At 40.7% G+C, this 24,136-nt stretch overlaps 1 protein-coding gene across 1 annotated transcript in view, besides 1 other annotated feature; it reads left to right on the plus strand.

Moving 5' to 3' along the window:
* Positions 1–23,969, plus strand: part of NOPCHAP1 (NOP protein chaperone 1) — a 31,310-nt gene extending 7,341 nt beyond the window's left edge. The window contains exon 4 of the mRNA NM_152318.3: positions 822–23,969. Within this exon, the coding sequence (NP_689531.2) occupies positions 822–1,040 (219 nt within the window). The 3' untranslated portion in view covers positions 1,041–23,969. The remainder of the gene's footprint in view (positions 1–821) is intronic.
* Positions 5,433–5,933: an enhancer, noted in NCBI's record as "H3K4me1 hESC enhancer chr12:105392867-105393367 (GRCh37/hg19 assembly coordinates)". NCBI's record gives its function as "activates a minimal SCP1, AML or CMV promoter by ChIP-STARR-seq in naive H9 embryonic stem cells {active_cell/tissue: H9 hESC(naive)}" and the evidence as "EXISTENCE:reporter gene assay evidence [ECO:0000049][PMID:30033119]".

A 24,136-nucleotide genomic window follows, 5' to 3' on the forward strand; every position in this document is an offset into this window, starting at 1 on the left:
ATAATTTTCACCTTTCGTGAATAGCAGTATTTTAATTTTTTTCCCCCAACCACTTAAAAATAGAAAAAACATTCCTACTTTGTGAGCTGAACAAAAGTAGGCGGTGGGCAGGATTTGGCCTGCAGGTTGTAATTTACTGGTCTCTGCCTGAAAATGTAAATTTCACCAAAGCGAGGGGTTTGTTTTGATTTTTTTATTGTTATTGAGTCTCTAGTACCTAGTGTAGTGCCTAACTCATGTTAGTATTTGCTGAAAGAATGTTGTTGAATGTGTTTAGGGTATATAGAATTGGGCCGTAGCAGATATTTTAGACACTTAGAGTAAATTTAAATCATCATTATGACAGACCCTGGTAACTAAAAATATAAAAGAGCCATGTTGTATTAAAAACATTTCTTATCCTTGTGGCCTGGTGTGCTGTCTCATGCCTGTAATTGCAGCGCTTTGGGAGGGCAAGGTGGGTGGATCATTTGAGGTCAGGAGTTCAAGACCAGCCTGGCCAACAGGGTGAAACCCCATCTCTACTGAAAATACAAAAATTAGCTGGATGTGATGGGGCACACCTGTAGTCCCAGCTACTCAGGAGGCTGAGAGGCACAAGAATTGCTTGAGCCCAGGAGGCGGAGGGGGCAGTGAGCTGAGATCACACCACTGCACTCCAGTCTGGGCAGCAGAGCAAGACTCTGTCTCCAAAAAAAACCAAATTCTTATCCTTTATGTTTCAATATGTTTGCTGAATGTTGGTTCTTCCCAATATTGTTTTATTACGACTTTTTAAGGAACTGCTCTGAAATAGATTTCCTGTCCACTACTTTTTGCAGGATGTGGCTTTGTTTGAGATGAATCAGTCGGATTCAAAAGAAGTGGACAGTTCAGAAGAGAGTTCACAAGACAGTTCAGAGAACAGTTCAGAATCAGAAGACGAAGATGACAGCATCCCATCTGAAGTCACCATAGATAACATTAAGCTTCCCAATTCTGAAGGTGGAAAAGGCAAGATTGAAGTTTTGGACAGTCCAGCAAGTAAAAAAAAGAAATAGTCAAATAAATTATCTGAAAAGAAACAGGTGACATATGTCTGCAAATTCTGTGAAAAAGAATGTGATTCACGGGTTCTTTTGCTTTTCAGGCACCTATGGTGCTTTTATATGTTAAAAACTTTAGACAAGTTAAATTTGACAGAGTTTCTTTGGGCAAAGAATGATTAATGAGTTAGGTAGCATTGTAAACTGAAAGGGGTTCAGAGACCTCCGCTCTACAGCAAGGAAAGTGTGCTTTTATCAGCTGAACACAGAAGTAGAGTACAGGAATAACTTGATGGGTTACAGCTAGGTGTTTGCCTAAATAAGGCAAAGAGGAGACCTAAGGCTGCCTGATGTCCCATAGGTATGGTCTGATCTAAGGAGATCTAAGGCTGCCTTGTCCGATGGGCTGAGGCTTGGCTGTTTGTGATTGGCCAGACTTGGCTATTTGTTATAAAAATACACTCCTGAGTTAGGTTTTGGTGTGTAGAGTACAGGAATAACTTGATGGGTTACAGCTAGGTGTTTGCCTAAATAAGGCAAAGAGGAGACCTAAGCCCAGCATGTCGTCCACTGTTTGGGATGCCTGCAAACTAACCATTAGCTCCTCCTGCAAACATCATGTGTTCTGTTCCCTTGAGAAATTTCTTTCATGCATATGGTGGCAGTGTCCAAAGAAACAATAGTGTCAGCTACAAATTGTATTGAATTTTCTGTAGTAGCAAAATCTGGAAAAATAGGTACAACATTCAGTTTTGTTTAGCACCATACATAACCCCCAACATGAGCAAAGAGGAGATCTAAGGCTGCATGATATCCCATTAAGTGCTTTTGTTAAATGCTTTCAGAGGGTGGCTCCTACCCCAGGAGGTCTGGTTGGTCATAAAATAAGATTTTTCCCTATCTGTGCATTAGTTTTAAATTCCATATGACTAGCACCCAACCACTACAAAGAGTGAGTCCCCAGGAGCCCCACTGTAATCTTTCCTCAGTGGAAACTAGCATATCTTTTTTTTTTTCGAGATGGAGTCTTGCTCTGTTGCTCAGGCTGGAGTGCAGTGGCGCGATCTCAGCTCACTACAAGCTCTGCCTCCCGGGTTCACGCCATTCTCCTGCCTCAGCCTCCTCAGTAGCTGGGAGTACAGGCGCCCACCACCATGCCCGGCTAATTTTTTTTTTTTTTGTATTTTTAGTAGAGACGGGATTTCACCGTGTTAGCCAGGATGGTCTCAATCTCCTGACCTCGTGTTCCACCCTTCTTGACCTGCCAAAGTGTTGGGATTACAGGCATGAGCCACCGTGCCCGGCTGGAAACTAGCTTATCTTTATTTTCTTCATCTATTCCAAGGTTGGTGCAAATTTCAATTGCTGACCATTTTAGACTCTGATAATAGGAGGTATTTATGGGGACTTTTGGGGAAGCTATTTGGAAGGCAGGATTGAACCATGCCAAATAGCAAGATCCTAACCAGTGGGGAGCAAAATGGAGTAAGCATATTTTCTGTAGACCAATACAGGCAGACCCTCTGAGGCTGGAAAAGAGGGCTACCTAGTGGTATTTGAGCATCAGTCAGTTCAGTTCATCCACTGGTACATCTGCATAGCTCCTGAACAAGGTCCAGGAGGAAACTTACTTTTTTATAGTTCCCCTCCTTTTAAAAAGATGTTTTACATTTTATTATTTTCATTTTTTTTTTTTTTAACTTTTAGGTTCAGAGGTACATGTGGAGGTTTGTTATATAGACAAATTGGGTATTGTGGGGGTTTGGTGTACAGATTATTTCATCACCTGGTGATAAGCATAGTGCCCAATAGGTAGTTTTAAATCTGCACCCTCCTCCCACCCTCCATCCTCAAGTGGGCCCTAATGTCTGGTTCCCTTCTTTGCATCCATGTGTACTCAACGTTTAGCTCCCACTAATAAGTGAGAACATGTGGTATTTTTCTGTTCCTGTGTTGGTTGCTTAGGTCCTGATCATCTGTGTTAGCTTTCTGCCTTGATGATCTGCCTAATACTGTCAGTGGGGTGTTAAAGTCTCCCACTATTATCTAGCTCTCTTTGTAGGTCTCTGAATGCTTGCTTTATGAATCTGGGTGCTTCTCTGTTGGGTGCATGTATGTTTAGGATAGTTAGGTCTTATTGAATTAAGCCCTTTATCATTATGTAATGCCCTTCTTTGTCTTTTTTTATTTTTGTAAAAGTATGTTTTGTCTGAAATTAAAATAGCAACCCCTGCCTTTTTCTTTCTGTTTGCTTGGTAGAGTTTTCTCCATCCCTTTACTTTGAGCTTCTGAGTGTCACTGCATGTGAGGTGGGTCTCTTGAAGATAGCATACCATTGGATTTTGCTTCTTTATCCAAGTTGCCACACTGTTTCTTTTGATTGGGGCATTTAGCCCATTTACATTCAAGGTTAGTATTGATATGTGTGCATTTGATCCTGTCATCATATTGTTAGCTGGTTACCATGCAGACTTGTCTGTGTGGTTGCTTTATAGTGTTACTAATCTACCTACTTAAGTGTGTTTTTGTAGCGGCTGGTAACCCAGTCTTTCCTTTATATAGTTAGCACTCCCTTCCAAAACTCTTGTAAGGCAGATCTGATGTTAACAAATTCCCTTAGCATTTGCCTGTCTGAAAAGGATCTTATTTCTCCTTTGCTTATGAAGCTTAGTTTAGTCAGATATGAATTCTTGGTTGAAAATTATTTTCTTTAAGAATGCTGAGGGTGTGGCACACCAGCATGGCACATGTATACATATGTAACTAACCAGCACATTGTGCACATGTACCCTAAAACTTAAAGTATAATAATAAAAATAAATAAATAAAGAATGCTGAATATAGGCCCCCGATCTCTTCTGGCTTGTAGAGTTTCTGCTGACAGTTCTGCTGTTAGCCTGATGGGTTTCCCTTTGTAGGTGACTTGCCCCTTCTCTCTCACTGCCTTTAGCATTTTTTCTTTCATTTCCACCTTGGAGGATCTGATGACTGTATGTTTTAGGTTGGTCTGCTTGTGTAGTATTTCACAAGGGTTTTCCGCATTTCCTGAATTTGAATGTTGGCCTCTCTAGCAAGGTTGGGGAAGTTTTCATCAGCGATATCCTGAAATATGTTTTCAAAGTTGCTTGGTTTCTCTCCCTTTCAGTCACATCAATGAGTCATAGATTGGGTCTCTTTTCATAATCCCATATTTCTCGGAAGTTTTGTCCATTCTTTATTGTTTTTTTTCTCCAATAAAGAAAAAGATGTTTCAGAGAGCCATCTTCAAGCTCTGAGATTCTTTCCTCAGTTTGGTCAATTCTGCTGTTAATACTTGTGATTGCATTATGCAATTCTTGTAGTGTGTTTTTCAGCTCTGTCAGATCGGTTTAGTTCTCTCTTATAATGGCCGTTTTGTTTATCAGCTTCTGTATCATTTTATTGTAATCCTTAGATTCCACGGATTGGGTTTGACTTTATCCTGTATGTTGATGATCTTCATTCCTGTCTATATTCTGAATTTTATTTCTGCCATTTCAGCCATCTCAGCCTGGTTAAGAACCATTGCTGGGGAACTAGTGTAGTTTTTTGGAGGTAAGAAGATACTCTAGTGCTTTTGTCAGTTTTTGCACTGATTCTTTTTTATCTTTGTGGGCTCATGTCGCTGAAGTTGCTATCCTTTGGATGATTTTTTTTCTTTTATCCTACTTTATGTCCTTGTGTGTTTAATTGTGGTATAAAGTGGGTTTAGTCAACTGGCTTCATTTCTAGAAGGTTTTCAGGGGCCAAGGCTCAACTCAGGATTCCTGGACTGTATGCTGTAATTCTGGGGGGCTGATATCAGGCCCCTGGCTTTGTTCTCTGGCCACTGGAGGTTAGGTACCTGCTGTGCTAGAGGGGCCAAGATATTTCTGGACCACTGGTCAGAACACTTCAATGGGTGGTGCCAGCCAAAGTGCTTTGTATGGCAGTGGCAGTGGGATCTGTCCTCATATGCACATGCCAGCAATAGCAGTGGGGTGCGGTGCACACTCATCAGCTTCAGAGGGGTGCTGGCAGTTGCAAGGGTGCTGTTTTTGTGCAGGCATTTGTAGTGGCTGTGGTGTTAGCATGGGGGTGGGGCGCTGTGGCTGCTGCTAGATTTTGTGTGCCCTCTGTGCGTGTGCTTACATGGGTAGCAGTGGCCACTCAGGGTAAGGGGGCGGGCTGCTGGTCTCCATGCATAGTTTCACACCACTGGCAGTGTTGACACAGGGGCAGGGTACTGGTGGCTGCGGGACTGGTGCCAAATGTGCGCACGTTTATGCTGGCTGCAGTGGCTGCACAGGGCGCAGGGCAGGTCCACTGGTCACTGTGCCTAGTTTTGCAGCTGGTGGCAGTGTTGGTGTCGGAGTGGGGTACTGGTGGTCTCCGTACCTGCAGATACTCCAGTGGCAGTGGCAGCATGGTGGTCGGGTGCAGTGTGCTCAAGCCAGCAGTAGTGGCATGGCCAGGTGCACATGTACCCACACACTGGCAGGAAATTGGAGGCGAGGTCTGTGTACACAGGTGCTGGCAAAGTGATTCGGGGGTTGGCTGCATGCCAGCGTCTGCAGGCAAGGTGCCATGGGGGAGTCTGCAGTGGGAGGAGAGAGTGGGATCAGGTGGTCTGGTGCACGGTCTGTTGTGGGTGGGGGTAGTACTGGAGTTCTCTGCCATTCAGGCACGATCTGCCAACTCAGGTGCTATAGCGTAGGCCCCCAGGACGCACCCCACCTGGGCATCTAAGGCTGCACTGCAAGCAGGGACAGCCAGGCTGAGGCCCAGGGAGAGGTCAGGAAACTGAGGAGTGCTTAGTTCCGATCGGCCAGGTCTCATAGGCAAGACTGCCCTGCATTTTTCAAGTCTGATAGTTCCTCTAGGGTTGAAGTCTCTTAGGGGAGCAAGGTGAGTCATGGGTGATGGGCGTCCCTGGCCATGATCCACTACAGATGCTCCCGCACCAAAGCCTCTGGGCTCTGCACCAGCTAGAATTCTGCCCTACCACTTCTCTAAGCAGCTCTCCCTGCAAGCTCAAGAGTCCATGGGGGTCCTGGGGTCTCCTGCCAGATTCCAGAGGCCTGTGGTGGGAGTCAGTTGCTGCTTGCCTGCTCAACTCACCCCTTTTCCAGGAGTCGGGGGCCAGGAACGAGTCTTAGTGTGTGGTAGCCCCTTGCAGGGTTCCCCGCTTCCTCCCTCTTCAGCCCAGCATCTGTGTCTTCCCTTCATCCACTCTCAGTGCCCTCCCTCTGAAGATCTGCTGGGAGTGCACCAGTCTTCCTGATATCCCAGTCTCTTGGTGGCAGATGTTCCTTCTGGCTGCATCTAGCTGATCATCTTGCCTCCAACCTGTTCCCTTTATAGCATAATGTGTATAACCACATTTAGTGGAAAAGCACCTTACTATATTTAATCCAATGACATTATACAAATAATCACCGGTGCCCACATAGATAGTCCCCAAGTCTTGAGTATGTGATACCTGGAAGCATAATATACCTTTTGTAGGCATCACTTGGTTTGATGTTCTATATTTGATAGTGGTTAGGTTATTAATTGGAAAGGTTGGGATATTCCTTTCAGTGAGTGTAGGCAAGCAAATAGCAGTGACATTTAGAACATCAAGGATTGCTTTCTCTTCCTTTGGGGTTTCAGGGTAATTCTCTTCGGGAACTCAGAGAGGTGTTGGCATTAGTGGAGTTGTTTCCTGGTTTTTACCCATTAGCCCACAAACCCAAACAGTTGCTCTGTTTTTTCTGCTAGAGCATGAGCCTTACCTAAAGCCATTGCAAATTATGGTCCTATGGATTTTCCTGTAAGGAAAAGGAAAGATTAAGACAATAGGAAATAAGGGAAAAAGAAAAGGGACATAGTTATCATGATGACAGAGAAGAGAACTCTTGATCCATGATCAAATTCTTACCACCCATACTGCAGCAAAAGTCTTGAGGGTCTGAACTTTTGCTGCAGTGTGGATGGTAAGAATTTGGTATGGTCCCTTCCATAGGGGTTTGAGGGCAGTGTTTCACTGATGTTGTTTTCAGAAGACCCAATCTCCATGTTCCAGATTGTGAAATGCTTGGTTGTCCTCCATTGATAGATCGTGAAAGGCTTTTTTTTTAACCTGGTGAAAATATACTTTGGCATAATACATTAAGGCCTTGCAGTATTTAGTCATGTCAGTTTACAGGAGCAGGAGATATATGAGGTTTAATTATTAGGGGCATAGGTTTTTCAGTAACTATTTCATAAGAAACTAATTTATTTTGTATTTTCTGTTGGGGTGGATCTAGTTGCCCATAAGGCCAATGGTAATACCTTTGGACGAGGCAATTCAATCAATTCAGTTAACTTTACCAATTTCAGTTTAAAGTTTCATTTGTTCTTTTGAGCTTTCCAGAAGATTAAGGGTGTTAGGGATGATGGTAATACCATTGTGTTCGATTAACTGTTTTAGCTGTTTTATAACTTGTCCAGTGAAACAGGTTCTTCTATTGCTGGAAATTCCTCCAGGGAAGCCCCAGAAGGAAACATACTTTCTAATAACTTATTGTCATAGCATTGGCCTTCCTACATGATAAAGCTTCTATCCGTCTAGAGAACACAAAGACTTTTATAAGAACATATTGTTATCCCATTAAGGGTGGCAATTGATGAAATCCATCTGTAAACATTCAAATGGTCCAGGAGGCAGTAGAAATGTACCACCTAAAATTTGGATTATCTTTCCAGGATTATGAGCTTGATAAACCAAACATTAGTTATAAGCCATTTTAGCAATTTTAGAATAGTCATCCCACCAATATTTTTTCAATTTCTGCCTTTAGAGAGCATAACAGTTCTGGTTCAGGAGAGTCAGGAAACTCTAAGATTATTTGTCCCTCTGAAAGAGAATTTTATATGCCCTTTTGCCTTGGAGAGCAAGTCTTGCCCCAGCAGATTTACTGGGGCAGTATCACATAATTAAAAAGTATGATTTTCTGTAAATGACACCAGTGTCAGTTGGATGGCTTCCAGTATGGGAACCTTTTCAACTTGATTTGAAACCCTACCACAGAAATAATGTTTCCACAGAGTAAACATTTTTACTCTGAGGGATGTATTAGCTTATTAAGGTAGAGTTTATAGTAGATGAAAGTGGCTCTAGTATCCACCAGAATTGTATAAGATTTTTCATTTGTTTTAACTTTTGTTTTTCCATGTTTATTTCTTTTCTTTTTTTAATAGTACTTTGAGTTGCTGTTTATCCATGTTTATTTAAAGGTATTATGGGGAGCAGTTTTCTGGAGAATTCCTTGGATGCTCATCAATGTTGATTATTATCTCTAGAGTTAAGACCTTGTGGACTCATTCTAGTGGGGAAATAGTATGGCCCCAAGGAAGGAGGCTTACTGGTATACTGAAATAAGAATGCAAAATCTCTTTTCCAGCATCCTAGTTGTTTGCAATGAAGGGAGACACCTTAGGGCAAATAATTTCTTGGTCTAAGATCTCTTGGTTTTAGCTTAAAATAAGGGAGAGGAAGTCCCTTTGGTCTTGGTCTTTGTGGTTATTGTAATTAGAGAGACATGAGCTTTTCGACCTTTAGTCTTTTACTTACTCTATTCTCTCAAAATGTTGGGCTAGGGCCACCAATTCAATCATATCTATAACCTCCCATCCTGGTTTGTGTTTTTTATTCAGGTTACTAAGTTCAGGATGAGCTCCATTTACAAATAGAGCAGTTAATCCTGTTTCAGGCACTGCCAGAAGTATCCCTTGGTGTATTGGAACCTGGAATGTTTTACAAATAGTCTTTCTGAATGGACCCTGTAATCTGAAACTGGTTCATTCTATTTTTTGTCTATGAGATTGTATGATGGACCAATCAATTTTTTGTAGCAAAATCTTAGGAATTGAATTTTAAAGGTTTTCAACAATTTTTCTAGGTCTCATTGGCCCTACTCTTGATGAGGTTTTGGGGGAGTCTTTAATATCCTGATTAAGTTTTTCCCATTCTCTTGTCATACATTTTCAAGCTTTGCCATGTCCCAGTATCATATGAATAAATTGGTCAGAGAGTCCTGGCTTGTAAGCTCCTGTGCAAATTCTAAAATCTTCAGTACATTTTTGAGTGTTTTCCCTGGGCTAGGGAAGTCTTTTACCGTGTCTGGAAGCTTAATTTTTGACCATGGAGTAAAGGTGGTTATGGCAGGCAGGCCTGGCTGATCAGAGAATCCCATTTTGTAAGGCATTTGTCTAACTTGCCTTTTCTCATTATCTTTAGAATGAAAGAGTAGTTGAGCAAAAAGGTTATTAGACTCAGAGTATTGAGGTAAAGATGGGTAAAGAGAAAGAACAAAACAGGTTTGAATCAGTCAAGATACAGTCTTTTTTTGTATCATCCTTAAGCTACTTAAGGTTTTCATTTGCCTTCTGTAAGGAATCTTTTACTACCTGTATGTACCAATTTAAAGAATGCATCTCATTGCTTATGAAGCATTTTGGATTCTTTCTTTTGTAGTGTGCCTTGCAAGTGAACAAGTTTATGTAGGTTAAAACTTTCCCACTGTGGGCCACTGGAATTCTAATTTTTTTTGTGTGTGTGTGAGTTTCATTTTTCTAGAAAAGCAACATGCCCTGAGTCTGTAGTTCTTATACACGAAATTGGCTATAGTTCCAGATGGAGGAGTTCTAGACTCCATGGATCCAGATGAACTCATGATTCCCTGTCTTCTTGTGACTTATCATAGGCCTTCTACTGGACCCAGTCTCTGGACCCTGTTTGGTAAAAGAATTGTTCAAGTAAATTTGGAGAGCTCAAAACACAAATCTGTGTAGCTTTAATCTGAAAGGGAAATCACACACAACCTCCAGTTGCTGTGAGAGAGGAATGGTTACAATAGACCCAGCAAATACATTCATTTGGTCACTAGGGTGCTCCTGGGCGGTTGTTGGAAGTCGCCTTTGGACGCCACTTCTGACACCAAAAACTTAATTGTTAAAACCTCTAGACAAATTAAATTTAACAGTTTGTTTGAGCAAAGAACAATTTTATGAATTAGCACTCAAAACTGAAAGGTTCAGAGTGTTCCACTCTGTGGCACAGAGAGTATGCTTTTATAAGTATAAATTGAACTTGGAAGTAAACTACAGAAATAACTGGATTGGTTACAGCTAGGCATTTGCCCTATTTGTGCATGGTTTGATAACTTGACTGCCTATGACTGGCTGAAGCTCACCTGTTTCTGTCTGGCTTAAACCTAGCTATTCGTTACAAAAGTATTCTGCTAAGTTAGGTTTTGGTTTGTTTATTACTGAGGTAGATTGCAGTTTGTTATATAGGAACTACAAGTACCAAGGGAGTCTCAGGCTAATGGCCTCCTGCTTATTTAATTTCACATATGTAATATTGGATGTATTTTGTTTCTCAGAGAAACCAGAGCTAGTTTTTAAAGAGTTGGGATATATAGCATTTGGATGTCTTCCCAGGGTAGAATGATCTTTATTCTCTTCTATGGTAGAGTTTAGAAAGCTTAATTTTGTGCATGGTGATGAGTGAATTTGTTAGCATCTTTTTTCTTCAGCATGGATTTCAGAAACATCAATTTTATTTTAAAGTAAAAATAAAGGCCAGGTGCGGTGGCTCACACCTGTAATCCCAGCACTTTGGGAGGCCAAGGTGGGCAGATCACGAGGTCAGGAGTTTGAGACCTGCCTGGCCAACGTGAATCCCCGTCTCTACTAAAAATATAAAAATTAGCTGGGCGTGGTGGCACGTGCCTGTAGTTCCAGCTACTTGGGAGGCTGAGACAGAAGAGTCACTTGAACCCAGGAGGTGGAGGTTGCAGTGAGCTGAGCTCACTGGAGGCTGGGTGACAGAGCAAGACTGTGTCTCAAAACAAATAAATAAATAAAAATTACCAGTTTTGTTTTAAATTATCTGTTTGAATAAAATAACCTAGTTTTTTTAGGTTATTATAAAGTCAAACTTGTCACCATCAAGATGGGTTTAATGAGGGAGGAATATGTGAAAAAGAAAAAAGATTTTTACAAAGAAAAGAATTACTTATACAGTTGATCCTTGAACAATGCAGGAGTTAGGGTGCTGACCCCCTTTGTGGTCAAAAATCTATGTATAACTTTTGACTCCCTGAAAACTTAACTACTAATAGCCTACTATTGACTAGAAGCCTTAGTGAAACATAAATAGTTAACACATATTGTATATGTTATATGTATTATATATTGTATTTTTACAATAAAGTAAGCTACGGAAAAGAAAATATCACTAAGGAAATCAGGAAGAGAAATATATACTTACTGTTCTTTAAATGGAAGTGGATCATCATTAAAGACTTCATCCTCATTGTCTTCAGGTTGAGTAGGTTGAGGAGGAGGAAGCAGAGGGGTTGGCACAGGTGGAAGAGGTATAGAAGAAGAAGGCATACTCATTGTAACTTTATGGAAATACATTGTAATTTCTGTCTGACTTTCTTACTTACTCATTTTGTTACCAGTGGAGGGTCTTGACTCTGAGTTGTTTGACAAAGAATTGGATAAAACGTGCAAATCAATGAAAGGATGAAGCAACAAAAGCACAGATTTGTTGAAATGAAAGTACACTTCACAGAGTGGGAGCAGGCTCAAGCAAGTGGCTCAAGAGTGCTGGTTAGAGAATTTTCTGGGGTTTAAATACCCTCTAGAGGTTTCCCATTGGTTACTTGGTTTACACCCTATTTAAATGAGGTAGTGGTCTGCAGCCAGTCTGATTAGTTGCTGGGTGACCAATCAGAGGCTGAAGTGAAGTTACAGAGTTACACCCTATGCAAACATCTGATTGGTTGTGGAAGGTGAAGTGAAGTTACAAAGTTGTAACCCTGCGCAAAGACTAGGCTTGTGACCAGTCTGATTGGTTGCAGGAGGGGACCAGAAGTACTTGCCATTTTTCATCTGTGACACAGAAGCAGAGGAGCTGCAAAGGGAGAGCCTCTGATCCTTTTGTTACTTGGGCGTGGAAAGTTGGGGTTTTCCTTTTGATTCAGTCTAGGAAGTCAGTGCGAATTGGCCTTAAGTTCCCTGCCTCCAGGCCCTATTCTCCTGGCTCAGTTTCTCTAAAAATATGTCTATACAGTACCAATCTTCTACCATTTGCTTTAGTTTTAGTGTGTGTATCATAGAAAGGTCCATGTTATAAAAGAAGTCAAAAGCAACCTTGAATGATCAGAACCCTTCTGCCAGATTGTCTAATGTCAATGTGTTTTCTGATACTGATGCTTCTCCATCTTCCTCATCGTCTGGCACTGTGGCTCAGAAGCATTCATCTCCATCAAGCTGTCTTCTGTTAATTCCTCTGGTGTGATGTCTGTTAGCTTTTGAATTTCTCCAAGATCCCTGTCTTGAAACCCTTCACTCCACCTGCCCCACCTTTTTTGCCACATTCACAATCTCTTTCATGATTTCCTTGATTGGCTCTGTCGTAAATCTTATGAATTCATGCATGATATCTGGACACAGTTTTTTTCAGCACAAATTTATTGTTTCAGGCTTGATGGCTTTCACAGCTTTTTCTATAACAATGATATTGTCTTCAATGGTGTAATCATTCTAGAATTTCATGATGTTCTATCAGTGTTCTCTTGCATAGCTTTGAAAATTTTTTCCATAGAGTATCATGTATAATGAGCCTTAAAGGTCTTCATGATCCCCTGACCCTAGAGGCTGAATTAGAAGCCTTCTGTTTGGGGGAAAGCAGACCACTTTGATACCTTCAATGTTGAACTCTTGGGTTTCTGGGTGACCTGGGCATTGTCTAATATCAAAAGAACTATAAAAGACAGTTCCTTATTTGCAAGATACTTCTTGACCTTAGAGACAAAGCATTGATGGAACCAATCCAGACAAAGGGGTCTTGTCCAAGCCTTTTTGTTGTAAACCAGAAGACTGGCAACTCGTATTTATCTTTTCCCTTCCAGGCTCAGGGGTTAGCAGCCTTATAGATAAGGGCAGTCCTGATCATAAATCTAATTGCATTTGCACAAAACAGTAGAGTTAACCTATCCCTTCCTGCCTTAAATCATGCTCACTTCTCTTACTAATTGATGTCTTTTGTGGCTCTTTTTTTTTTAACTTTTAGGTTCAAGGGTACTTGTGTGCAGGTTTGTTATATAGGTATTTTGTGTGTCATAGGGGTTTGGTGTGCAGATTATTTCGTTTGTGGCATTTTTTTTTTCCAGATGAGGGTACTTCTGTTTGTATTTAAAACCTGTTTGAGAAGATATCCTTTCTTCTCCATGATTTTTTTATTGGCACCTGGGAACTTGGCTGGTGCCTCTTGGTCAGCAGAAGCTGTTTCTTCTATTATCTTGACTTTTTTTTTTTTTTTAAGTCAAACCTCTAAAATTATCAAAGCATCTTATGCTGGCATTGAATTATCCAGCTTTAGACCCTTCACTTTCCCTTTGCTCTATGTTGTCATTTAATAACTTCCCTGTTTTTCAAATCATATGAGAGTCTGTAGCCTTTTTGATAGCAATCCTGTACCCACATAAAAGCTGCATTTTCAATAGGAAATAAAAATGTATTTCACAAAAAGATTTTTGTGCCCGCTAGCGTAGCTGCAGCAATGGCTTCACAAATTTCCTTTTCTTTTTAACAATGGTCCTGATGCTGGATTCATTTATCTTGAAATGGTGGGCAACTACAGATGCAGACCTCAGTCTATGGTACACATCAAGCAATTCATATTTTTCTTGTAATGTCATGACTTTTCTCTGCTTCTTGGAAGAAATTCCAACATCACTAGTAGCACTTTATATGGTTCCTACCTATGGTGTTATTCAAGGTTTACAATATTGCACTAAAGACGAAGAACATGCGATAACCATAAGAGATCACTTGCAGGTTTGTTACGTAGGTATACACGTTCCATGACGGTTTGCTGCCGCCATCAACTTGTCGTCTACATTAGGTATTCCTCCTAATACTATCCCTCCCCTAGGCCCCCACCCCCCAACAGGCCCCAGTGTGTGATGTTCCCCTCCCTGTGTCCATGTGTTCTCATTGTTCAACTCCCACTTAGGAGTGAGAACATGTGATGTTTGGTTTTCTGTTCCTGTGTTAGTTTGCTGAGAATGATGGTTTCCTGCTTCATCCCTGTCCCTGCAAAGGACATGAACTCATCCTTTTTTATGGCTACATAGTATTCCATGGTGTACATATGCCACATTTTCTTTATCTAGTCTATCACTGATGGGCATTTGGGTTGGTTCCAAGTCTTTGCTATTGTGAGCAGTGCTGCAGTAAACATACATGTGTCTTTATAGTAGAATGATTTATAATCCTTTGGATATATACCCAGTAATGGGATTGCTGGGTTAAATGGTATTTCTAGTTCTAGATCCTTGAGGAATTGCCACACTGTCTTCCACAATGGTTGAACTAATTTACAATCCCACCAACAGTGAAAAGTGTTCCTGTTTCTCCACATCCCCTCCAGCATCTGTTGTTTCCTGACTTTTTAATGATCGCCATTCTAACTGGTAACTCATTGTGGTTTTGATTTGCATTTCTCTAATAACCAGTGATGATGAGCTTTTTTCATGTTTGTTGGCCGCATAAATGTCTTCTTTTGAGAAGTGTCTGTTCGTATCCTTCGCCCACTTTTTGATGGGGTTGTTTTTTTCTCGTAAATTTGTTTAAGTTCTTTGTAGATTATGGATATTAGCTCTTTGTCAGATGGATACATTGCAAAAACTTTCTCCCATTCTATAGGTTGCTGGTTCACTCTGATGATAGTTTATTTTGCTGTGCAGAAGCTCTTTAGTTTAATTAGATCCCATTTGTCTATTTTAGCTTTTGTTGACATTGCTTTTGGTGTTTAGTCATGAAGTCTCTGCCAATGTCTGTGTCCTAAATGGTATTGCCTAGGTTTTCTTCTAGGGTTTTTATGGTTTTAGATCTTACATTTAAGTCTTTAATCCATCGTGAGTTAATTTTTGTATAAGGTGTAAGAAAGGGGTCCAGTTTCAGTTTTCTGCATATGGCTAGCCAGTTTACCCAACACCATTTATTAAATAGGGAATCTTTTCTCCATTGCTTGTTTTTGTCAAGTTTTTCAAAGATCAGATGGTTGTAGATGTGTGGTATTATTTCTGAGGCCTCTGTTCTGTTCTGTTGGCCTGTATATCTCTTTTGGTGCCAGTACTGTGCTGTTTTGGTTACTATAGCCTTGTAGTATAGTTTGAAGTCAGGTAGCGTGATTCCTCCAGCTTTGTTCTTTTTGCTTAGGATTGTCTTGGCTATATGGGCTCTTTTTGGGTTTCATATGAAATTTAAAGTAGTTTTTTCTAATTCTGTGAAGAAAGTCAATGGTAGCTTGATGGGGATAGCATTGAATCTATAAATTACTTTAGGCAGTATGGCCATTTTCACGATATTGATTCTTCCTATCCATGAGCATGGAATGTTTTTCCATTTGTTTGTGTCCTCTCTGATTTCTTTGAGCAAGTTCTCCTTGAAGAGGTCCTTCACATCCCTAGTAAGTTGGATTCCTAGGTATTTTATTATCTTTGTAGCAATTGTGAATGGTAGTTCACTCATGATTTGGCTCTCTGTTATTGGTATATAGGAATGCTTGTGATTTTTTGCACATTGATTTTGTATCCTGAGACTTTTGCTGAAATTGCTTATCAGCTTAAGGAGTTTTTGGGCTAAGATGATGGGGTTTTCTAAATATCATGTCATCTGCAAACAGGGACAATTTGACTTCCTCTCTTCCTATTTTTATACCCTTTATTTCTTTCTCTTGCCTGCTTGCCCTGACCAGAACTTCCAATACTATGTTGAATAGGAGTGGTGAGAGAGGGCATCCTTGTTTTGTGCTGGTTTTCAAAGGGAATGCTTCCAGCTTTTGCCCGTTCAGTATGATATTGGCTGTGGGTTTGTCATAAAAAGCTCCTATTGTTTTGAAATATGTTCCATCAGTACCTAGTTTATTGAGAGTTTTTAGCATGAAGGGGTGTTGAATTTTATCAAAGGCCTTTTCTGTATCTATTGAAATAATCATGTGCTTTTTGTCATTGGTTCTGTTTATGTGATGGATTATGTTTATTGATTTGTGTATGTTGAACCAGCCTTGCATCCCAGGGATGAAGCTGACTTGATTGTGGTGGATAAGCTTTTTGATGTGCTGCTGGATTCAGTTTGCTGGTATTTTATTGAGGATTTTTGCATTGATGTTCATCAGGGATATTGGCTTGAAATTTTCTTTTTTTGTTGTGTCTTTGCCAGGTTTTGGTATCACGATGATGCTGGTGTCATAAAATGAATTAGGGAGGAGTCCCTCTTTTTCTATTGTTGGGAATAGTTTCAGAAGGAATGGTACCAGCTCCTTTTTGTATCTCTGATAGAATTCTGCTGTGAATCCTTCAGGTCCTGGGCTTTTTTTGGTTAGTAGTCTATTAGTTACTGCCTCAATTTCAGAACTTGTTATTGGTCTATTCAGGGATTCAACGTTTTCCTGGTTTAATCTTGGGAGAGTGTATGTGTCCAGGAATTTATCCATTTCTTCTAGATTTTCTAGAGGTGTTTATAGTTATTTGTATAGAGTTGTTTATAGTATTCTCTGATGGTGGTTTGTATTTCTGTGGGATCAGTGATGATATCCCCTTTATCATTTTTTATTGTGTCTGTTTGATTCTTCTCTCTTTTCTTCTTTATTAATTGGGCTTGTGGTCTATCTATTTTGTTAATCTTCTCAAAAAACCAGCTCCTGGATTCGTGGATTTTTTGAAGGGTTTTTTGTGTCTCTATCTCCTTCAGTTCTGCTCTGATCTTAGTTATTTCTTGTCTTCTGCTAGCTTTTGAATTTGCTTGCTCTCGCTTCTCTGGTTCTTTTAATTGTGATGTTAGAGTATCGATTTTAGATCTTTCCCGCTTTCTCCTGTGGGCATTTAGTGCTATAAATTTCCCTCTAAACACTGCTTTAGCTGTGTCCCAGAGATTCTGGTATGTTGTGTCTTTGTTCTCATTGGTTTCAAATAATTTATTTATTTCTGCCTAAACTTCGTTATTTACCCAGTAGTCATTCAGGAGCAGGTTGTTCAGTTTCCACATAGTTGTGCATTTTTTAGTGAATTTCTTAATCCTGAGTTTTAATTTGATTGCACTGTGGTCTGAGAGACCATTTGTTATGATTTCCGTTCTTTTGCATTTAGCTGAGGAGTGTTTTACTTCAATTATGTGGTCAATTTTAGAAAAAGTGTGATGTGGTGCTGAGAAGAATGTATATTCTGTTGATTTGGAGTGGAGAGTTCTGTAGATGTCTATTAAGCACACTTGGTCCAGAGCTGAGTTCAAGTCCTGAATAGCCTTGTTAATTTTCTGTCTTGTTGATCTATCTAATACTGACAGTGGGGTGTTAAAGTCTCCCACTATTATTGTGTGGGAGTCTAAGTCTCTTTGTAGGTCTCTAAGAACTTGCTTTGTGAATCTGTGTGCTCCTGTATTGGGTGCATATATATTTAGGATAGTTAGCTCTTCTTGTTGGGTTGATCCCTTTACCATTATGTAATGCCCTTCTTTGTCTTTTTTGATCTTTGTTGGTTTAAAGTCTGTTTTATCGGAGACCAGGATTGCAACCCCTGCTTTTTTTTTGCTTTCCATTTGCTTGGTAAATATTCCTCCATCCCTTTATTTTGAGCCTATGTGTGTCTTTGCACATGAGATGGGTCTCCTGAATACAGCACACTGATGGGTCTTGACTCTTTATCCAGTTTGACTGATGGATCTTGACTCTTTATCCTGTGTCTTTTAATTGGGGCATTTAGTCCATTTACATTTAAGGTTAATATTGTTATGTGCGAATTTGATCCTGTCATTATGATGGTTATTTTTCCCATTAATTGATGCAGTTTCTTCATAGTGTTGATGGTCCTTACAATTTGGTATGTTTTTGCAGTGGCTAGTGCCAGTTTTTCCTTTCCATATTTAGTGCTGCCTTCAGGAGCTCTTGTAAGGCAGGCCTGGTGGTGACAAAATCTCTCAGCATTTGCTTGTCTGTAAAGGATTTTATTTCTCGTTCGCTTATGAAGCTTAGTTTGGCTGGATATGAAATTCTGGGTTGAAAATTCTTCTTTTTAAGAATGTTGAATATTGGCCCCCACTCTCTTCTGGCTTGTAGGGTTTCTTCAGAGAGATCCACTGTTAGTCTGATGGGCTTCCCTTTTTGGGTAATTCAACCTTTCTCTCTGGCTGCCCTTAACATTTTTTCCTTCATTTCAACCTTGGTGAATCTGATGATTATGTGTCTTGGGGTTGCTCTTCTCGAGGAATATCTTCATGGTGTTCTCTGTATTTCCTGAATTTGAATGTTGGCCTGTCTTGCTAGGTTGGGGAAGTTCTCGTGGATAATATCCTGAAGAGTGTTTTCCAACTTGGTTCCATTCTCCCTGTCACTTTCAGGTACACCAATCAAACGTAGGCTAGGTCTTTTCACATAGTCTCATATTTCTTGGACGCTTTGTTCCTTTTCATTCTTTTTTCTCTAATCTGTCTTCACGCTTTATTTCATTAAGTTGATCTTCAATCTCTGATATCCTTTCTCCCACTTGATCGATTAGGCCATTGATACTTGTGTATGCTTCACGAAGTTCTTGGGCTGTGTTTTTCAGCTCCATCAGGTCATTTATGTTCTTCTCTCAACTGGTTATTCTAGTTAGCAATTTCTCTAATCTTTTTTCAAGGTTCTTAGCTTCCTTGCATTGGGTTAGAACATGCTCCTTTAGCTCGGAGGAATTTGTTATTATCTGCCTTCTGAAGCCTACTTCTGTCAATTCGTCAAACTTATTCTCTGTCCAGTTTTGTTTCCTTGCTGGTGAGGAGTTGTGATCCTTTGGAGGAGAAGAGGTGTTCTGGTTTTTGGAATTTTCAGCCTTTTTGCGCTGGGTTTTCCTCATCTTCCTGGATTTACCTACCTTTGCTCTTTTATGTTGGTAACCTTTGGGTGGGGTTTCTGTGTGGACGTCCTTTTTGTTGATGTAGATGCTATTCCTTTCTGTTAGTTTTCCTTCTCTAACAGGCCCCTCTGCTGCAGGTCTGCTGGAGTTTGCTGGAGGTCCACTCCAGACCCTGTTTACCTGGGTATCACCAGCAGAGGCTGCAGAACAGCAAAAATTGCTGCCTGTTCCTTCCTCTGGAAGCTTCCTCCCAGAGGGTCACCCGCTAGATGCCAGCTGGAGATCTCCTGTGTGAGGTTTCTGTCAACCTCTGCTGGGAGGTGTCTCCCAGTCAGTAGGCATAGGGGTCAAGGACCCACTTGAGGAGGCAGTCTGTCCCTTAGCAGAGCTTGAGCACTGTGCTGGGAGATCTGCTCTCTTCAGAGCTGGCAGGCAGGAATGTTTAAGTCTGCTGAAGCTGCGCCCACAGCCACCCGATCCCCCAGGTGTTCTGTCCCAGGGAGATAGGACTTTTATCTATAATCCCCTTGACTGGGACTGCTGCCTTTCTTTCAGAGATGCCCTGCCAGAGAGGAATCTAGAGAGGCAGTCTAGGCACAGCTGCTTTGCCGCACTGTGGTGGGCTCTGCCCAATTTGAATTTCCCTGTGGCTTTATTTACACTGTGAGGAGAAAACTGCCTACTCAAGCCTCAGTCGTGGTGGACACCCCTTTTCCCACCAAGCTCAAGTGTCCCACGTTGACTTCAGACTGCTGTGCTGGCAGTGAGAATTTCAAGCCAGTGGATCTTAGCTTGCTGGGCTCTGTGGGGGTGGGATTTGCTAAGCTTGACCACTTGGCTTTCTATCTTCAGCCCCCTTTCCAGGGGAGTGAACGGTTCTGTCTCGCTGGTGTTCCAGGCACCACTGGGGTATGAAGAAAAACTCCTGCAGCTAGCTCGGTGTTTGCCCAAACAGCCACCCAGCTTTGAGCTTGAAACCCAGGGCCCTGGTGGTGTAGGCACCCGAGGGAATCTCCTGGTCTGCGGGTTGTGAAGACCGTGGGAAAAGCATAGTATCTGGGCCGGAGTGCACCGTTCCTCACGGCACAGTATCTCATGGCTTCCCTTGGCTAGGGGAGGGAGTTCCCTGGCTTCCCTTGGCTTCCCTGGGCTAGGGGAGGGAGTTCCCTAACGCTTTGTGCTTCCCAGGTGAGGCAACACCCCACCCTTCTTCTGCTCCCCATCCATGGGCTGTACCCACTGTCTAACCAGTCCCAATGAGGTGAGCTGGGTACCTCAGTTGGAAATGCAGAAATCGCTTGCCTTCTGCGTTGATCTCGCTGGGAGCTGCAGACCGGAGTTGTTCCTATTTGGCCATCTTGCCAGCCAGCCGAGAGATCACTTTTTACTGTGATAGGCAATTTACTGCAGAGAGGAACTGTTCACACAGAGATGATTAGTGTCACATGGTATCGTGAGTAGATACTTGCAACACGAGCTCATCGCAATAGCAACAGGAGGTGACCACAAAGTTATTACAGTACTAGAGTTAATTTTATGCAGTTATGATTTAATACTGTGTCTTTGCATTTGTTTGTATTTCTTTCAACTGCAAATGGTACTAGGTACCGTCTATAAGTGTTTGTGTGGGTAAGTGCTGATAAATTCTAACTTTTTATAATAGATTTATATATTTTTTATGGTAGAAATGATGAGATAGACTGGTATCTACATATATTTAATGCATTTTTGACGTACCTAACTTTTTAATTTTTTTTAAGCCATGCAGTTCATCTGTGAATTTTTTCAAATTGTCACAAATCTCCAAAAATGTTAAAAATATATTTATTGAAAATAATCCATGTATAAGTGGACCCACACAGTTCAAATCTGTGTTGTTCAAGTGTCACCTGTATTTAGCTATTCTCAAACATACCTATTTTTATTTTAAGAATTCCTTTCTAGTTTGAGTTGGAAAACTGATGCTTGTAGTGTAATCACTGTTGGTGACAGTGCAGTCATACAATGCATGCAGAATTTACTGGTTGGAAAGATCAGTTTTTAGTTGATTTTTTTTTTTTTGTAAAGCAAAACTTCTTATCTCAGCTATTAAAACTGTTCCACACAGTTGCCCACAGCCTGAAACCTATCAAATGTAGAAAATAGGGACATCACAGCAAAATTTGGAGGGCATAGTACAAAGAAAGGCGACAGCTGGTTTTCCCTTCCAAAGGTCAAAATGACCTCAGGCTGGAGTTGCCTTTCTGCCCTATTCTTGGTTTTATTAAGTTTATTTGGGATCTCATCTGCCATGAGCCTGACTTTTGCTCAGGAAAGAGGCCTGAGAATTTAAGGACTATCTGTGAGTGGGCAGAGCTGATGGAACTTTGTCTGCTAATGTTTTCGGGTTTTCTTTGAATTCTGTTCTTTCCAATTCTTCACATTGGCCTGAGTCTTCTTGTGATTGCTGTGAAGATAATTATCCAGGTCCTTTCTGATCTTTCTTATTGGAAATTGGAACCAGCTCTCCTTGACTGTGACTCACTCGCTAAATGTGTAAAGAAATGAGCAGATCTGAAACAAGATTTTTTCAGCTGGAAAGAGTACACCAGAACTGTACACAGCCGTGATGAGTTATTGGCATAGGTACTTATTTAAAGATTTTCTTCCACTGGATGCTATGCTACCTTGTGTGAACAGTTGCATTTGTCTGTTTCACTACTTAGCATAGTGTGTGGTGCACAGTAGGCATGGAATAATGATAATAAATGGATTAAATGGATGCATGAAGGTATACAGGAGACTTTAAGCTATCATAGACGGTTCCAGGCAGGAGAATATGAAGATGTAATTTCAAGTACAGTTGTTATTGTCAGTTTTGCTTTCCATGGTTTCAGCTACCCATAGTCAATCACAATATAAAAATATTAAATGGAACATTCCAGAAATAATACATAAGTTTTAAGTTGCTGAATAATGTGATGAAATCTTAGGCTGTCCCACTTCGTCTCGCCTGGGATGTGAATTGTCCTTTTGTCCTGCTTATGCACGCTGTATATGTTACCCACCGTTTAGTCACTTAGCAGCCATCTGGATTCTCAGATTGAAAACAGTGTGTATAGGGTTCTGTTCTATCAAATGTTTCAGGCATCCTCTGGGGGGTCTTGGAATGTATCCCCCATGGATAAGACTACTTGTATAATCTGGTAAAATGGATGAATTATTCATAAATAATGTCAGAACCAGCTATTTCAAACAAGATTAGATTCTCTAGCCTCATATCATATGCAAAGATAAATTATATATGGATTAAGGATTTAAATGTAAAAAAAGAAATTATAAGAGTTCCATACCGAAATGCAGGTTTATATTTAGTAAAATAGTCAAGAAAGGTTTTTTTTTTTTTTTTTAAAAAGCATAACATCAAAGCCTAAAATTACAAAGGAAAAGAGTGGAAAATTCATCCCCATAAATATTAAAAACTAGTGTGTTGCAAATAAATTCAAAAGATAAGGGAAATACTGGGGAAAATATCTGAAACATGACAGAGTGTCATTAATATATCATGGGCTTTTACATTTTAGAAAAAAATGACGGATATCTCAGTAGTGAAAAGACTATAGGAAATGAAGAAGTAATTCACAGAAAAAGGGTCAACTCCATTTATCAGAGAAATGCAAATGAAATCAGGATTGCATTCTTCACCTGTCAAATTGGCAGATGCAACAGTAGCTGGTACTTACTGAGCCCTTTCTGTGTTAGCTACTAGTCTAAGAGTTACCACCACTCATACATATGTAAAGGCTAATGGAGTTGTAAATGTAACTTTTGAGGACTTTATTGTATGTATGCGTATTAGTCTGTTCTCACACTGCTAATAAAGACATACCCGAGACTGGGTAATTTATAAAGGAAAGGAGGTTTAATGGACTCACAGTTCCACATGGCTGAGGAGACCTCACAATCATGGTAGAGGGTAAAGGGGTAGAAAGTCATGTCTTACATGGCAGCAGGCAAGAGAGCTTGTGTAGGGGAGCTCCCCTTTATAAAACCATCAGACCTGGTGAGACTTATTCACATGAGAACAGCATAGGAAAGACCCGCCCCGATGATTCAGTTACCTCCCACCAGGTCCCTCCTACAACACGTGAGAATTATGGGAGCTACAATTCAAGATGAGATTTGGGTGGGGACACAGCCAAAACATATCAGTATGTTATGGCCTTATATAAAAGTTGTTTTGTTTGTAAGCAGTTTGCCCTACAGTGTGTGGAAAGTGCATCACTGTTGTGCTTTGGTTGTCCAACTCTTTGCTTACCCTGATGCTTAGGTGTGAGTTGATGGCAGTTTGGCATTTGGAGAGCAGTTGCACTCCTAAAATGAGTGAAATGTTCTCTTCAAACTTGTGGCGTACCGTCTTTCTATGGCTCTGTGACAGTTACAGATCCGAAAATTAGGTGTAATGGCTTTTGAAGCAAAAATCTCATTCTGAATAAATCTCCCATCTGTTCCAATAACATTTTAATTGCGCATCAAATATGGTACTTATTTTTAAAAACTGCCTAGCAGGATAGTTTGTGTTACTCTGCCTGTATCCATGACCGTGATAAGAAATGTAAGAAAAGGCCAGGCATGGTGGCTCACACCTGTAATCCCAGCACTTTGGGAGGCCAAGGTGGGTGGATCACCTGAGGTCAGGAATCCAGACAAGCCTGGCCAGCATGGAGAAACCCTGTCTCTATTAAAAATATAAAAATGAGCCAGATGCGGTGGTGCATATCTGTAATCCCAGCTACTTGGGAGGCTGAGGCAGGAGAATCGCTTGAACCCAGGAGGTGGAGGTTGGAGTGAGCGAAGATCATGCCACTGCACTCCAGCCTGGGTGACAGAGAGACAGACTGTCTCAAAAAAAAAAAAAAAAAAAAAAATGTAAGAAAAGAGGTTGAGTCTTATTTTCATTTGTATTTCTCTCACTGCCTAGCATAGTGCCTTTCACTCAGTTGGAATATATAATAAATGTTCATTAAACTGACTATTGTTTCCTTCTCTTTATGTCAACAAAATAATTCAGCTTAAACATCAGTTCACAATCCTGGGTCAAAATCCTGAAGCAAAAATACAGGATATGTATGATCTGTAGACTTTTCCCAAAAGTTTTAATGTTGGAATCTTTGTGTTTGACTCCCCACCATCTGTTCA

This window comes from Homo sapiens, chromosome 12 (genome assembly GCF_000001405.40).
Source record: "Homo sapiens chromosome 12, GRCh38.p14 Primary Assembly".
In the NCBI taxonomy this organism is placed as follows: Eukaryota; Metazoa; Chordata; class Mammalia; order Primates; family Hominidae; genus Homo; species Homo sapiens.